Source organism: Homo sapiens, chromosome 11, assembly GCF_000001405.40.
Source record: "Homo sapiens chromosome 11, GRCh38.p14 Primary Assembly".
NCBI classification, from domain to species: domain Eukaryota; kingdom Metazoa; phylum Chordata; class Mammalia; order Primates; family Hominidae; genus Homo; species Homo sapiens.
In genome coordinates this window covers 107,732,865-107,749,309 of record NC_000011.10, presented here as the reverse complement: position 1 = coordinate 107,749,309, position 16,445 = coordinate 107,732,865, and the positions used below count along the sequence as shown (strand labels likewise).

The window sequence follows — 16,445 nt, the reverse complement described above, 5'->3', positions numbered from 1 at the left end:
ACCACCACCCCAGGCTAATTTTTGTATTTTTTAATAGAGACAGAGTATCGCCACGTTGGCCAGGCTGGTGTCGAACTCCTGGCTTCAAGTGATCCTCCCACCTCAGCCTCCCAAAGTGCTGGGATTACAGGCATGAGCCACTGTGCATGGCCGTTTCTTCTTGTTAATTCCATTTTATTATTTGAATGTGTGGAATATATTCACACACTTCCAAAAGTAAAAACTACCCTCAGAGAAGCATCACTCTCTCTTGCCTTCATCCTCCTAATTTCCCTCCTTATATCTGGGTAATCTCATTGTTTTCTGATTACCCTTCCTGTGTTTCTTTTTGCAAAAAATGAAATAGATATATGTATATTTCTTGTCTTCCTGCTTTTCTTACACAAAAAGCAGCATGCTATCTGTACTCTTTAGATTTTATTTTTTTCACTTAACAATATATCATGGAATCACCCTTCAATGTTGCTATTTATTTAATACTCTAATTATTGTGTGTATTTACTATGTTTCTGTACCATTTTAAAAATTAAAAACGTTTCTTTTGTTATTTAGGAAAGTTTGTTTTATTAGTTTTAATGGGTATCTTTGTTTAAAAGCTTTTCTAGTATCTCTGGTTCACCATTTAAAAAGTAAACATATACTTTCAGTTTAAGATGGGATCCTTTTTCAGAATCTTTTTCTATTTTCTCCTTTACCTCTTCTCCTCCCATAATTTTTGCTGCATCATTTCTATTTTGTTCACATACTATTCTTCCACCTATTTCCCAGCCCTTCTATTATTCTTCATTTTACAACTAAATATATTAGATTCTCATTATCAGTCCTTTTGCTGAAGTTTCTTCAGTTCCCCTTGGTTAAATGAGAGTCCAGGTAGATTCCTTAGGAAGGGGCTGTGTGCCCTAGAAAGACTGCCTGACTGTGTATAAAATCCTTGGTTCTAGCCAGATGTATTAGCATGCACCTGTAGCCCCAGCTACTGTGGAGGCTGAGGTGGGAGGATTACTTGAGCCCCAGAGTTTGAGGCCATACTGGGCAACATAGTGAGACCCCTATCTCTAAAGAAACAAACAAACAAAAATCCTTGAGTCTGCCACAAGTCTCCCATTTAACCTGTTAACTGGCTCCTTCAGCTTCTCACAAGACAAGGATTTTGCTCGGACCATCCTGAATGCAAAATAATCTACCACATCATCAGACCTGTGACAGATTACAAGGTCTACTACTGGGTTCAATATATGGCCACCAAACTTCTAAACCTAAAGTTTTACACAATAATTAATGACCACCAGGTCTTATGTAAAGGCTTTTCACTTGGGGTAGGGGGAGGAAAACAGTACCAGAGTGTCCAGACCCCATCACAGTACAAACTTTTTGTGTGGAAGCTAAATTTAGATAGGGTTCCCAGGAATATAAATAGCTAGGACACTAATTGGGGAATGCCTCTGGGGTGAGGCTACGTGAAAAGAAGCAGCTTTCATGGTTTAAAAAAAGGTTCCAAGGCTTCTTTCCCTTATAACAGCTGACGGTACATTCCTAGCTCCTTCCAGAACTTACTTGAACAAAAGGTCACTCATCTACAATCTCTTCAAAGCCTTTGAGATTTCACAGGAGGCTAGAGTGTCAGGGCTGGAAGGATCTTAGAAGTGATCTAATCTGTTCTTTTTTAAATTAACAGATGAGGAAACTGGTGGGATTAAATCTGGGGTGAAAGGATAAGTACTTGAATTTTCCGTGTGAAAAGTCAGGCTTATTAAAAATGTTTTGAAAAGCAATTTTGGGCTGGGCACGGTGGCTCATACCTGTAATCCTAGCACTTTGGGAGGCTGGGGCAGGATCACTTGAAGCCAGGAGACCGCATATCTAAACAAACAAAAACAAATAGTTTTGGTATAGGCATGAACAAATGATTAAAAAATATTTTTAAGGCTTTGGTTCAGATTTTCAAAAAGAAATTTTTATTTTATTTTTATTTATTTATTTTTTGAGACAAAGACTCACTGTGTCACCCAGGCTGGAGTGAAGTGGAGTGATCATGGCTCACTGCAGCCTCTAACTCCTGGGCTCAAGCGAACCCCCCTCCTCAGCCTTGAGTAGCTGGGACTGCAGGACTGTGCCACCACTCCTGGCTGATTTTTATATTTTTTTGTAGAGATAGGAGTCTCCCAATATTGCCCAGGCTGGTCTCAAACTTCTGGTCTCAAGCCATCCCTCTGCCTTGGCCTCCCAAAACACTGGCATTATAAGTGGGAGCTACTATACCTGGTCTGAAAAAATTTCTAAGAAAAAAAACCCTGACAAATTTGAAGTCCCTATATTTCCCTTTCTTATGTTATTCCTCTCCTTCCTAGAGTTAACCATTATAATGGATTTAGTGCTTTGACACATTTGCTCCATATATATGTACTAATAAATATAATTTAATTTACAGAAATGGTAACACAGTCTATAACATCTTGAAATTTGCTTTTTTTTAAACTGTGGTGGCAAATAATACTTCAGTGAACCTCCTTGCACATACGTGAGTTTCTTTAATATACATTACATAAATCATATATATAACATTAATTACATATATTACTATTATATATGTGTATATATCTAGAAGTAAAATTCATTGTTAAATATAGAGCATTCTCAGTGTTATTAGATCTTGTCTCATTCCCTCCCTAGATAGCATTGTCCCATCTTCATCGACACTTCTTATTAGACTTTAAAACCTTTATAAAATGAATTGAGGTGAAAGTTTGTCTTACTGTTTTATGGTGCATCTTGATTAACGGGGAATATTTTTCATGTTTTCTTTTTTTTGGTCATTAAGATTTCCTGTTTTTTTGAGAGTTGCCTGTTTATATCCTTTGCTCATTTTTTCTATTGGGTTATTAGTCTTTCTCTTATTGACTTTAGGAATTCTTTGAGCTCTGGATATTATTTCTTTGATGGTTTTTATAAAGTTAACATTTCCCCAGTCTATGGCTAATATTTTTTTTTAATTTTAAATTTTTGTGGGTACATAGGTGTATATATTTATGGGTTGCATGAGGTATTTTGATACAGGCATGCAATGGGTAATAATAACATCAGGGTAAATAGGGGTATCCATCACCTCAAGCATTTATCCTTTGTGTTTCAAACATTCTGACATACTCTTTTAGTTATTTTAAAAATTCATATATCTATATATATTTTTACTATAGTCATCCCGTTGTACTAGCAAATACTAGGTCTTATCTATTTTTCTTTTCTTTTCTTTTTTTTTTTTTTTAGAAGGATCTCACTCTGTCACCCAGGCTGGGGTGCAGTGGTACAATCTTGACTCACTGCAACCTCTGCCTCTTGGGTTCAAGCGATTCTCTTGCTTCAGTCTCCCGAGTAGCTGGGATTACAGGTGTGCACCACCACTCCCAGCTAATTTTTATATTTTTAGTATAGACGGTGTTTCACCATGTTGGCCAGGCTAGTCTCAAACTCCTGACCTCAAGTGATCCACCTGCCTTGGCCTCCCAAAGTGCTGGGATTACAGGCGTGAGCCACTGCACCCAGCCTCTAATTTATTCTAACTACTTTTTTTTGTAGCCGTTAACCATTCCCCACCCCCATACCCACTCCCACTTCACCACTACCCTTCCCAGGCTGTGGTAACCATCTTTCTACTCTCTATTTCCATGAATTCAATTGTTTTAATTTTTAGCTCCCACAGATAAGTGAGAAGAGGTGATGTTTATCATTCTGTGCCTGACTTACTTCACTTAACATAATGACCTCCAGTTCCATCTCAGTTGTTGGATATGACAGGATCTCATCCTTTTTTGTAGCTGAATAGTACTCCATTATATATAGTACCACATTTTCTTTATCTACTCATCTGTTGATGGACACTTAGGTTGCTTCGAAATCTTGGCTACTGTGAACAGTGCTGCAATAAATATGGGAGTGCAGATATCTCTCTGATATACTGATTTCCTGTCTTTTGGGTATAAACCTAGGAGTGGGATTGCTGGATTATATGGTAGCTCTATTTTTAGTTTTTTGAGGAACCTCCAAACTGTTTTTCATAGTGGTTGTGCTCATTTTACATTCCCACCAAGAGTGTATGAGAATTCCCTTTTCTCCTCATCCTTGCCAACATTTGTTATTGTATGGCTTATCTCTTAACTTGGTTTATAGAGTCCTGCTTTTACAGACATTTCACATTTTTAAATAGTCCAAAATGAACACTCTTTTTATTTGTAAAAAGACTGACCTACCATCTGACACCAAATGAAGGCAAGACCAGTCAACTCCAGTCATTCTAGTGATCTCCAGGCTATTGGCAAATAAGGCATTCAGCACAAGTGTTCTTTTAATTGGGACATGCTGTGAATAATTAGCATGGCCAGTCCCCATCAGGTGTCAGAGAGCTCTTCTTGCCTTCTGGAAGGAGTTTGGATGAGGAGTCATCTCCTGCTGGCTCCGCTCCTCATGGTGTGCCCTTGGTAGAGACCTGGCTTCCAGCTCTACCACTAATTCCATTTAAACCCCAGTTTCCTGATATGTAGAAAAGAATAACGCTGCTTCACAGGGCTGTTGGATGCACGCTGGATAGGGGTAAAAATGCTTTGCAAGATAACAGATAAAAGCAAAATACTGTTATTACTAACCTCTGTGGGCTTCATCGTTCATATGTGTAGAATAAGAGGGATGGGACTAGGTATTAACAGCCCCTTTCAGCTCTACAATAGCCTGTGATTCTGTGACTAGGGGTAAAAACAGAACCTCCAAGTAAGATGGGGTAGCAGGTGGCCTCTAGCAGTTATGGGGCTCTTGGTAAGGCCACCTACTGGAAGAAATATTACAAGGCAAATAAGAAAATGCAATATCCCTGCCTTCCTCTCTTCTTCACTTCTCCCATTCTTCCCTGCTTTCCTTTCATCTGTTTCTCCCTTCTGTCTTCCTTTCTTCTATTCTTGGAACACTCCCCCACTTTACTGGCTCAATTCTATTTATCCTTCAGATATTCTTTGTTTTTTTCCTGGGAAGCATCCTCTAGGAGGCTTTTAATGATCATCAAATTTTATGCAGTGGTGTCCTTCCTATGTGCTTCCATGGTGTCCTCATAACCTCCACCATTGCACTTACTCGTATTAATTGTCTGCAATCCTTATAAAATTTAAGCTTGGGGAATAGAGAGGGCTCATTTCTTGTTCGCTGCTGTATCCCCAGAGCCTGTTTCAGTGCTGGGAATAAAGCAGGGTGCTCAAATCCCGTTGGATGAAGGAGTAAATATACAGGAACTATGCTAGGCAGCATGAGTACAGAGATGAATAAGAATTGTCCTTAGCTATGAAGGAATTAAAGGTCTTGAAGGGAGGAGGGACATGCAATCAAGTAACTGCAATACTGTATTATAAGAACAAGCAACAGAAATCCATTTGAAAGTACAGCTTTATATATAGAGAAGTGTTTAGACAGGTCAAAGAAAGCACTCTGAGAAAGAGATGAGCTGGATTTTCAAAAATGAGCAGGAATGATGTGTCAATCTGAGTAAAGTAAGGGACTTGCCAGATAGAAGCAGCTCACTTATTTAATAATTAATTCAAAAAATATTTATTGAGCTTCTACATTGCTCCAGGTACTGTTGTAGGTGCTGAGGGTACAACAGATACAAAGAGAGTCCGCCCTGGTGGAGCCCCTCCTCACCTCCTGCAGAGGTCCTCTTTCTGTAGTGACCCCTGTCATCCTGGGCCTCTGCAGCTCTTCTGAGAATGTGGTATTTAATGCATATGAAGTCCTATAGAGTATCTGACATGCCTCTCTTTGATCCAGGAAAACAGGGTCCTGGCTGTTTTTGTGCTAAGGGAGACGTGAGGGTTTGTTTCTCAATGTTTTGATCAAAGGCACACAGCTGTCACACGAGAACGCCTTGGAAATGTAATCTGACTGCCCCAAAGCACCAACTGGCCTCACCATCTGTCTCAGGCCACAGTCTGACTGAGGACTGTCTTTGGCTGAACACCCCTTGTATGGGTCAAATACTAACACTGGCATCCACCAGGGGAAATAACAAAGTAAGAAAAAGTAAAAATGGAATAAAGGCTGAAGGGAGTCTCATAAATCAACCCACACCATTATGCAGAGCTTTTATGGAGAAATCAGTAGAAAGAAATACAGAGTTACATAGAGGTGAAAGATAAATCATTAAAGGGGTCCTTTTATGGCAAAACTGAATTTCCACTTTCAGCAAGTTTTTGGCTGATTCCTATGGAATGATAGAATGGAAATGAACTTCTTTCCTGTGTTCTGCTTACTTATCTAAGTCAACTTGGCATTTTATTTTATTTTTGAGACAGGGTTTCACTCTGTTGCAGAGGCTGTAGTGCAGTGGCATGATCTTGGCTCACTGTAACCTCCACCTCCCAAGATCAAGCAATTCTCATGCCTCAGCCTTTCTAGTAGCTGGGATTACAGGCACCTGCCACCATGCCTGGCTAATTTTTGTATTTTTAGTAGAGATGGGGTTTCACCATGTTGGCCAGGCTGGTCTCAAACTCCTGGCTTCAAGTGATCCACCCACCTCAGCCTCCCAAAGTGCTGGAATTACAGGCGTGAGCCACTGCTACTGGCCAATTTGGCATTTTAAACAAGCCTTCTTCTCCAGGTGAGTGGCTGCAGGGACGAACATAAGATTTATAACTTTAAAGAGAGAAAGAGGATAGAAGGGGAATTGAGAATATATTTTATCATTTAAAAATATTGGATGGGTTGGGCACCGTGGCTCATGCCTGTAATCCCAGCATTTTGGGAGGCCAAGGCAGGTGGATCACCTGAGGTCAGGAGTTTGAGACCAGCCTGGCCAACACGGTGAAACCCTGTGTGTACTAAAAATACAAAAATTAGCCAGGTGTGGTGGCAGGCACCTGTAATCTCAGCTACTTGGGAGGCTGAGGCTGAAGAATCGCTTGAACCCAGGAGGCGGAGGTTGTGGTGACTGGAGATTGTGCCACTGCACTCCAGCCTGGGCGACAAGAGTGAAACTCCAGCTTAAAAAAAAAAAGTGGATGGAGGTGACAAGATGGCCAATAGATACAGTCAAGGAGCATCTCCCAATGAGAGAGACCAAAATATTGAATAAACCAACATCCTTAGGACAGATCTTTGGAGAGAAAACACAGAGTAATAGAGAGGTAAGGCAGACACTGAGACTGAAGAGGGAGGAAGCTGGGAACCCTGCACAGGTTTGCAGAGCACTGGGACTGGTTCCCGGCCCTGAACAGCTCCTAAGGAAGGGGTGAGTGAAGTGATGGCGGGGTAACCCACTCTCACCACAGACCTCTCAGATATTAGCTACAAGAGGTCCCATGACTCCTACAGATGTTTGAATTGTCAAGGGAATCTGCCTGGAGAGTAGGCAGAAACAGTGCTCCAGGCTGTGCAGAGCCTAGAAGGTTTTGCACATGGAGAAGCTGCAGCAAAATGTGGCCACAGGCACCCATCCCACAGGATTCTCTGTCTTCCTCTGAGTAGCTCTAACCTTGGCTGGCTGCTGGGCCAGGAGAGAGTGGGGCCATCTTTCCTGTGGGACTGGGGCATGTCTGTTCTGCATGCTCCTCTATCCACCAGCCCCTCCCAAGGCCCCTGCCTGGCCACTCCTACAAGAGCAGGTACACAGCACGGCCTCCACTGCCCAGGCAGAGTGCTTTCCTCACAGCCTGAGAGCACTCCAGCTCCCCCAGCACAACCAATGCCCAACGCAGAGGATGAAGCTGCAGGCCAGATTCCAATACCCCTGGGTTGCAGCACATAGCTCAGAAGTGGCAGGCTGAGATCTGGCCAGTGATTAAGTGGGAGAGGAACCTGCACACTCAGAACACTGAGAAGAGTAAGAAGCGGGTTCCTGGGCAGGTGCAGGAATGGGGTATGCCTCCCTCAAAAGTGCCAGTCTGGGAAGGGTGAGGCCTGTCTGGCAGGCAAAGCCTCTGCCTGAAGGAGCCCTGTGACCTGGAACACCTAACGAAGGCAATGTTGGCATGGTGCCAGTGTTAGGAGGGACCTCCCCTAAGGCAGGGGAATGGACCTGGTAAAGAAGTCATCTCTCTTCCCTCCCCACCACAGAGCACTGCAATAAACCCACTGAAATACGGAAGAGCTACTCAGCTAAATAAGAGCATATCTGTTGGCCATTACTCTTAAGCGCCGTCTACTGGATGACAGCCCAAGTTACAACACCAAAAATACTCTTCCAATATACATTATCTGTGAAATGCAGGGCAAGAATCTAGCCACAAATAAAGATCTTGCACAGAGCTTTGGCTCTCTGAAAACACCCAGAAACAAAGGCTTATTGACTATACTCAACTTACACCACAGAACCCTCAAGGGAAATGAAGTATATAAAAACAATATCCAAATGACAGCAAATCCAAAAAGACAAGGAACACCAGTCCTCTTAGATGAGAAAGAATCAGCAATAAGAACTCTGGCAATCCAAAAAGTTACAGTGTCTCCTTACCTCCAAATGAGTACATTAGCTCTCCAGCAATAGTTCCTAACCAGAGTGAAATGACTGAAATGACATATAGAATTCAGAATCTGGATGGCAAGGAAGCTCATTAAGGTTCAGGAGAAAGTTGAAACCCAATCCAAGGAATTCAAGGAATCCAGTAAAATAATACAATAGTTGAAAGACGAAATAGCCATTTTAAGAAAGAACCAAACTGAACTTCTGGAATTAAAAAATTCACCACAAGAATTCCATAATACCATTAGAAGCATTAGCAACAGAATAGACTAAGCTGAAGAATCTCAGAGCATCAAGATCAGTTCTTCAAATCAACTCAGACAAAAAAAAAAAAAAGAATTTAAGAAAATGAACAAAATGTCCAAGAAATATGGGATTTTGTAGAAACCAAACCTATGAGTCATTGACGTTCTTGAGAAGGAAGGAGAGAGAGTAAGCAACTTGGAAAACATATGTGAGGATGTAATCCACAAAAAGTTCCCCAATCTCACTAGAGAGACGGCAAATACAAGGAATACAGAGAACCGCTCTGAGATACTATACAAGATGACCAGCCCCAAGACACAAGGTCAACATGAAAGAAAAAAATCTTAAAGGCAGCTAGAGAGAAGGGTCAGGTCACTTACAAAGGGAACTCCATCAGGCTAGCAGTGGACCTCTCAGCAGAAACCTTACAACCAGAAAGGACTGGGGGCCTAATTGCAGTATCCTTAAAAAAAAAAAAAAAGCATTTCCAGCCAAGAATTTTGTATCCTGCCAAACTAAGCTTCATAAACAAGGGAGAAATAAAGTCCTTTTCAGACAAGCAAACACAAGGGGGAATTGATTACTACTAGACCAGGCTTACAAGAGGTCTTTAAGGGAGAGCTAAGCATGGAAACAAAAGAACAATACCTGCTACCACAAAAACACACTTAAGCTCATAGTCCACGAACACTATAGAACAACTACACAATCAAGTATACAAAACAACCAGCTAACAACATGATGACAGTATCAAAATCTCACATATCCATATTAATCCTGAATGTAAATGATCTAAACCCCCCACTTAAAAGGCATAGAGTAGCAAGTTAGATAAAAAGACAGCATCCAATTATCTTTCACCTTCAAGAGACTCACCTCACATGTAATGACACCCACAAGCTCAAAGTAAATGGCTGGAGAAAGATCTATCATGCAAATGGTAAACAAAAGAAGGTAGGAGTCGCTATTCTTACATGAGATGAAACAGACACTAAACCAACAATAGTCAAGAGGACAAAGAAGGGCATTACATAATAATAAAGGGTTCAATTGAACAAGAAGGCTTAATTATTCTAAATATATATACATACCCACCATTGGAGCACCCAGATTCATAAAACAAGTTCTTGACCTACGAAAAGGATTAGAGAGCCACACAATAATAGTGGGAGACTTCAACACCTTACTGACAGTGTTTGATTATGTGGCAGAAAACTAACAAAGAAATTCTGGACTTGACACTCAACCAATTGGACCTAATAGACATCTAAAAGAATACTCTACCCAACAGCTACAGAACATACATTCTTCTCATCTGCACACGAAACATATTCTAAGTTTGACCACACGCTCAACCATAAAGCAAGTCTCAGTAAATTAAAAAATATCGAAATCATACTAAGCACATTTTAGGACCATAGGGCAATAAAAATAGAAATCAATACCAGGAAGATATCTCAAAACCACATAATTGCATGGAAATTAAGCAACTTGCTCCTGAATGACTTTTGGGTGTACAATAAAATCGAGACACAAATCAAAAAATTCTCTGAAACCAATAAAAGTACATACCCAACATACCAAAATCTTTTGGATGCAGCTAAAGCAGTGTTAAGAGTAAAGTTTGTAGGGCCAAACACCTACATCAAGAAGCTAGAAAATCTCAAATTAACAATCTAACATTGCACCTAAAGGAACTAGAAAAAAGAGGACAAATCAACCCAAAATCTAGCTGAAGAAAAGAAATAAGTAAAATCAGAGAACTCAATGAAATTGAGACTTGAAAATCCATACAAAAGATCAATGTAGGAGAGCAAGTGCCGGGCATCTCAGGTACGCTCCTTGGGCCTCCGGTGCCCGTTTCTTGGGCAGCAGTGGCTCTTCCGCCCTGCTGCAGGTGGAGGTGCTGGCTCTGGACGAGGACGAGGATGACCTGGAGGTTTTCAGCAACTATGCCTCACTGATGGACATGAATTCCTTCAGCACTATGATGCCAACATCCCCTTTATCAATGATAAACCAAATCAAGTTTGAAGATGAACGAGATTTAAAGGAACACTTCATTACAGTTGATAAACCTGAAAGTTATGTTACTACAATAGAAACTTTCATTACGTATAGCATTATTACTAAGTCATCTTGTGGAGAATTTGACTCCAGTGAATTTGAAGTTAGGAGACGGTATCAAGGTTTCCTTTGGTTGAAGAGAAAACTTGAAGAAGCACAACCCACTCTGAATATTCCACCATTTCCAGAAAAATTTATAGTAAAAGGAATGGTGGAACACTTTAAAGATGACTTCATTGAGACATGCAGGAAGGCTTTACATAAATTTTTGAGCCGAACTGCTGATCATCCAACTTTAACATTTAATAAGGTCTTCAAAATTTTTCTCACTGCATAACTCTCTTCTCACAAGAAGCAGGGTCCTGGATTGCTAAGCAGGATGGGGCCAACAGTCAGAACTGTTGCATCCTCAATGAGAGGAATTAAAAACCACCCAGAAATCTAACTGAACTAAAGAGCTTCTGCACAGCAAAAGAAACTACCATCAGAGTGAACAGGCAACCTACAGAATGGCAGAAAATTTTTGCAATCTACTCATCTGACAAAGGGCTAATATCCAGAATTTACAAAGAACTTAAACAAATTTACAAGAAAAAAAAATCAAACAACCCCATCAAAAAGTGGATGAAGGATATGAACAGACACTTCTCAAAAGAAGACATTTATGCAGCCAGCAGACACATAAAAACATGCTCATCATTACTGGTCATCAGAGAAATGCAAATCAAAACCACAATGAGATACCATCTCACACCAGTTAGAATGGCCATTGTTAAAAAGTCAGGATCATTAAAAAGTCAGGAAACAACAGGTGCTGGAGAGGATGTGGAGAAATAGGAACACTTTTACACTGTTGGTGGGACTATAAACTAGTTCAACCATTGTGGAAGACGGTGTGGTGATTCCTCAAGGATCCAGAACTAGAAATACCATTTGACCCAGCCATCCCATTACTGGGTATATATCCAAAGGATTACAAATCATGCTACTATAAAGACACATGCACACGTATGTTTATTGTAGCACTATTCACAATAGCAAAGACTTGAAACCACCCCAAATGTCCATCAATGATAGACTGGATTAAGAAAATGTGGCACATATACACCATGGAATACTATGCAGCCATAAAAAAAGGATGAGTTCATGTCCTTTGTAGGGACATGGATGAAGCTGGAAACCATCATTCTGAGCAAACTATCGCAAGGACAGAAAACCAAACACTGCATATTCTCACTCATAGGTGGGAACTGAACAATGAGAACACTTGGACACAGGGCAGGGAACATCACACACTGGGGCCTGTTGTGGGGTGGGGGGAGGGGAGAGAAATAGCATTAAGAGAAATACCTAATGTAAATGATGAATTAGTGGGTGCAGCACACCAACATGGCACATGTATACATATGTAACAAACCTGCACATTGTGCACATGTACTCTAGAACTTAAAGTATACAAAAACAAACAAAACAAACAAACAAAATACTAACCTTAAATGTAAATGGGCTAAAAGCCCCAATTAAAAGACATTTAAAAAAACCGCCTAGAAGAGTTCATGGAAATGAATAACTTTATTGAAATTTTTAGCCAGAAAACAAATTTGATAGATAAAATATCTTGGAGAATTTTCAAGGAAGAAAGGGAATATTTTGATGAAATGAAAGAATATGGTCCAATTCATATTCTGTGGTTAGTGTCAGAAGAGGATCTGGTTGATACTCTAAAAGATGTTGACAGCTGCATTGACAGATGCTGTAAGGCCACTGAAAAATGGAAGTCTGGACTCTCAGAGGCCCTGCTTCCTGTTGTACATGAGTACGTGCTTTATAGTGAAATGTTAATGGGTGTTATGAAAAGAAGAGACCAAATACAAGCAGAACTGGATTCCAAAGTTGAAGCTTTGACCTATAAAAAGACAGATAGTGATCTGCTTACAGAGGAGATTGGAAAACTTGAAGATAAAGTAGAATATGTTAATAATGCCCTGAAAGCAGAATGGGAAAGATGGCAACAAAATATGCAAAATGATATCGTTAGCATTTACAGATATGGCTGAGGAGAGTATCCACTATTATGAACAGTGCCTTACTACATGGGAACCATTCCTCACATCACCAACCTCCACTTGGAAGAAGCCTCTGAAGATAAACCTTAATCCCACTAAGGACTTCTGTTTAATCTTTGGGAGACAACATTTATCAACCAAAGTTATTCTTTCTGGATCTGCCATGTCCTTTATAAAGTGGATGACAAATGTTTTATACTATCTGGAAAAACCAACAACTTGAAACCTCAGGTACTCCAGTTCATTAACATGAATTTGATGATATATCTATATATCTATTTGTATGGATATATGTCTATACATATATAGATATATAGATACAGAGAGAGAGATTTAGCTTGGTTTTAATTATGTTCTTGAATTTGTGTGCCAATAATTGTGTATAGATTTTTCTGTTAAATATTTGACTGTGGAACATGATATTGTAAATATGTTGTAAGGACTTAGTTTTAATAAAAAGTTTAATATGAAAAAAAGATCAATGTAACCAAAAGTTGGTGCCTTGAAATAATAAACAAGATCAATAGACCACTACCTAGATTAACAAAGAAAAAAGAGAGAAGATGCTAATAATCACAATCAGAAATGACAAATGTGACATTCAACTGATCCCACAGAAACACAAAAGACCCTCAGAGACTATTAGGAAAGCCTTTATGCACAGAAATTGGAAAATCTATAGGAAATGGATAAATTTCACACAACCTCCCAAGATTGATCCAGGAAGACAGTGAAAACCTAAATAGACCACTAATGAGTCCTGAGGTTGAATCAGTAATAAAAACCTACCAAGAAAAAAAGCCCTGGATCAGATAGATTCACAGCCAAATTCTGCCAGACATACAAATAAGACCTGGTACCAACCCTACTGAAAATATTCCAAAACATGAAGGAGGAGGAACTCCTTAACTCATCTATGATACCAGCATCATCTTGATCCCCAAACCTGGCAGAGACACGTGAAAAAAGAAAACTTTAGGCCAATATCCCTGATAAACATAGATGCAACAATCCTCAACAAAATACTAACAAACTGAATCCAGCAGCACATCAAAAAGTTAATTTATCGTGATCAAGTAGGCTTTATTCCTGGGATGCAAGGTTGATGCAAAATACACAAATCAATAAATGTGATCTGCCATATAACTAAAAACAAAAACCATATGATCATCTCAATAGATACAGAGAAAGCTTTTGATACAATACAACATCCCTTCATGGTAAAAACCCTCAACAAACTAGGCTGCAAAGGAACATATCTCAAAATAATAAGAGCCATCTATGACAAACCCACCCCCAACCTTATACCGAATGGGCAAAAGCTGGAAACATTCCCCTTGAGAACTGGAACAAGACATGGATGCCCACTCTTGCTACTCTTATTCAACATAGTACTGGAAATCCTAACCAAGCAGTCAGGCAAGAGAAAGAAATAAAAGGCATTTAAACAGGAAAAGAAGAAGTCAAACCATCTGTCTTCACTGATGATATGATTCTATACCTAGAAAACCCTTAGGACTTTACCAAAAGGCTCCTAGAACTGATAAACGACTTCAGTAAAGTTTCAGGATACAAAATCAATGCCAAGAGCATTCAAGCTCAGAGCCAAGTCAAGAATGCAATCTCAGTTACAATAGCCACAAAAAGAATAAAATACCTAGGGATACAGCTAACCAAGAAGGTGAAAGATCTCTACAAGGAGAACTATAAAACACTGCTGAAAGAAATCAGAGATAGCAAATAAATGGAAAGATATTCCATACTCATAGATTGGAAGAATCAATATGGATAAGATGGCTATACTGCCCAAAACAATTTGCAGGTTCAACACTATTCATATCAAACTACCAGCATCATTTTTCACAGAATTAGAAAAAACTATCCTGCAATTCATTTGGTACCAGAAAAGAGCCTCAATGGCCAAAGTAGTCCTAAACAAAAGGAACAAAGCAAGAGGCATCCCATACCTGATTTCAAAGTATATTACAAGGCTACAATAACCAAAACAGCATGATGTCACAAAAACAGACACATAGACCAATGGAACAGAATAGAGCATCCAGAAATAAGGCCACACACCTACAACCATCTGATCTTCAAAAAAGTCAACAAAAATAAGCAATGGGAAAAGACTCCCTGTTCACTAAATGGTGCTGGGATAACTGGCTATTTATATGCAGAAGAATGAAACTGGACCCCTACCTATCACCATATACAAAAATCAACTCAAGATGAAGTAAAGACTAAAAAGTAAGACCTAAAACTATAAAAATCCTAGAAGAAAACCTAGGAAATACCCTTCTTGATATTGGCTTTGACAAAGAATTTATGGCTAAGTCCTCAAAAGCAATTGCAACAAAACCAAAAATTGACAAGTGGGATGTAATTAAATTAGAAAGCTTCTGCACAGCAAAAGAAACTATCAACAGAGTAAATGAACAACCTACATAATGGGGGAAAATATTGGCAAACTGCATCCAACAAAGTTCTAATATCCATAACCTATAAGGAACTTAAATCAGCAAGCAAGAAACAACACCATTAAACAGTGGGAAAAGGACAGGAACAGGCACTTCTCAAAAGCAGACATGCCAGCAGCCAACAAACATGAAAAAATGCTCATCAACACTAATCATCAGAGAAATGCAAATCAAAACCACAGTGAGATTTTTGTCTCATACCAGTCAGAATGACTTGTTAAAAAGTAAACAAATAACAGATGTTGGTGAGGCTATGGAGAAAAGAAGACACTTATAAGACCATGTTCTTTGCAGCAACATGGATGCAGCTGGAGGCCATTATCCTAAGCGAACTAATGCAGAAACAGAAAGCCCGATACCACATGTTCTCACTTATAAGTGAGAGCTAAACACTGAGTACAGGTGGACATAAAGACAGGAACAATAGACGCTGGGGTCAACGAGAGGGATGAGAAAGAGACAGGGAGACAAGGACTGAACAACTACCTATTGGGTACTACGTGCACTGCCTGGGTGATGGATTCAGTTATACCCCAAACCTTACCATCACACAGTATGCCTATGTAATAAACCTGCTTGTGTACTTCCTGATTCTAAGAGTTGGAAAATGAGAAGTCTATACATAGCTTTCCTTACATTTTAAAAAGATTTCGTTGGTTGTAGTTTTTAAAGTTATATATGCAATAGTTTAATGAGACTGGTTGCCTTTACAACAAACAACAGCAGTGCTCCTCTCACTCCTTTCTCTTCCTATCCCCACCACCTTCATCTTTTTGCAAATTCATTTCATGTCTACTTACATATTTACTTTTGCTCATTCATTTAATGTTTACACTTTTTTTGTTTGTTTTTGAGACAGAGTCTTGCTCCGTCGCCCAGGCTGGGGTGCAATAGCACAATCTCAGCTCACTGAAACCTCCACCTCCTGGGCTCAAGCAATTCTCCTGCCTCAGCCTTCTGAGTAGCTGGGCTTCAGGCGTGCACCACCATGCACGGCTAATTTGTTTTGTATTTTTAGTCGAGACGGGGTTTCATCATGTTGGCCAGGCTGGTCTCCAACTTCTGACCTCAAATGATCCACCGGCCTCGGCC

At 39.8% G+C, this 16,445-nt stretch overlaps 1 pseudogene, besides 3 other annotated features; it reads left to right on the top strand.

Annotated features, from left to right (window-relative positions):
* Positions 7,183–7,683: an enhancer, noted in NCBI's record as "H3K4me1 hESC enhancer chr11:107612353-107612853 (GRCh37/hg19 assembly coordinates)". NCBI's record gives its function as "activates a minimal SCP1, AML or CMV promoter by ChIP-STARR-seq in naive H9 embryonic stem cells {active_cell/tissue: H9 hESC(naive)}" and the evidence as "EXISTENCE:reporter gene assay evidence [ECO:0000049][PMID:30033119]".
* Positions 7,684–8,184: an enhancer, noted in NCBI's record as "H3K4me1 hESC enhancer chr11:107611852-107612352 (GRCh37/hg19 assembly coordinates)". NCBI's record gives its function as "activates a minimal SCP1, AML or CMV promoter by ChIP-STARR-seq in naive H9 embryonic stem cells {active_cell/tissue: H9 hESC(naive)}" and the evidence as "EXISTENCE:reporter gene assay evidence [ECO:0000049][PMID:30033119]".
* Positions 7,981–8,110: an enhancer, noted in NCBI's record as "active region_5473". NCBI's record gives its function as "activates an Ori minimal core promoter by ATAC-STARR-seq in GM12878 lymphoblastoid cells {active_cell/tissue: GM12878}" and the evidence as "EXISTENCE:reporter gene assay evidence [ECO:0000049][PMID:35858748]".
* Positions 10,549–13,344, top strand: LOC203930 (sorting nexin 7 pseudogene; annotated as a pseudogene).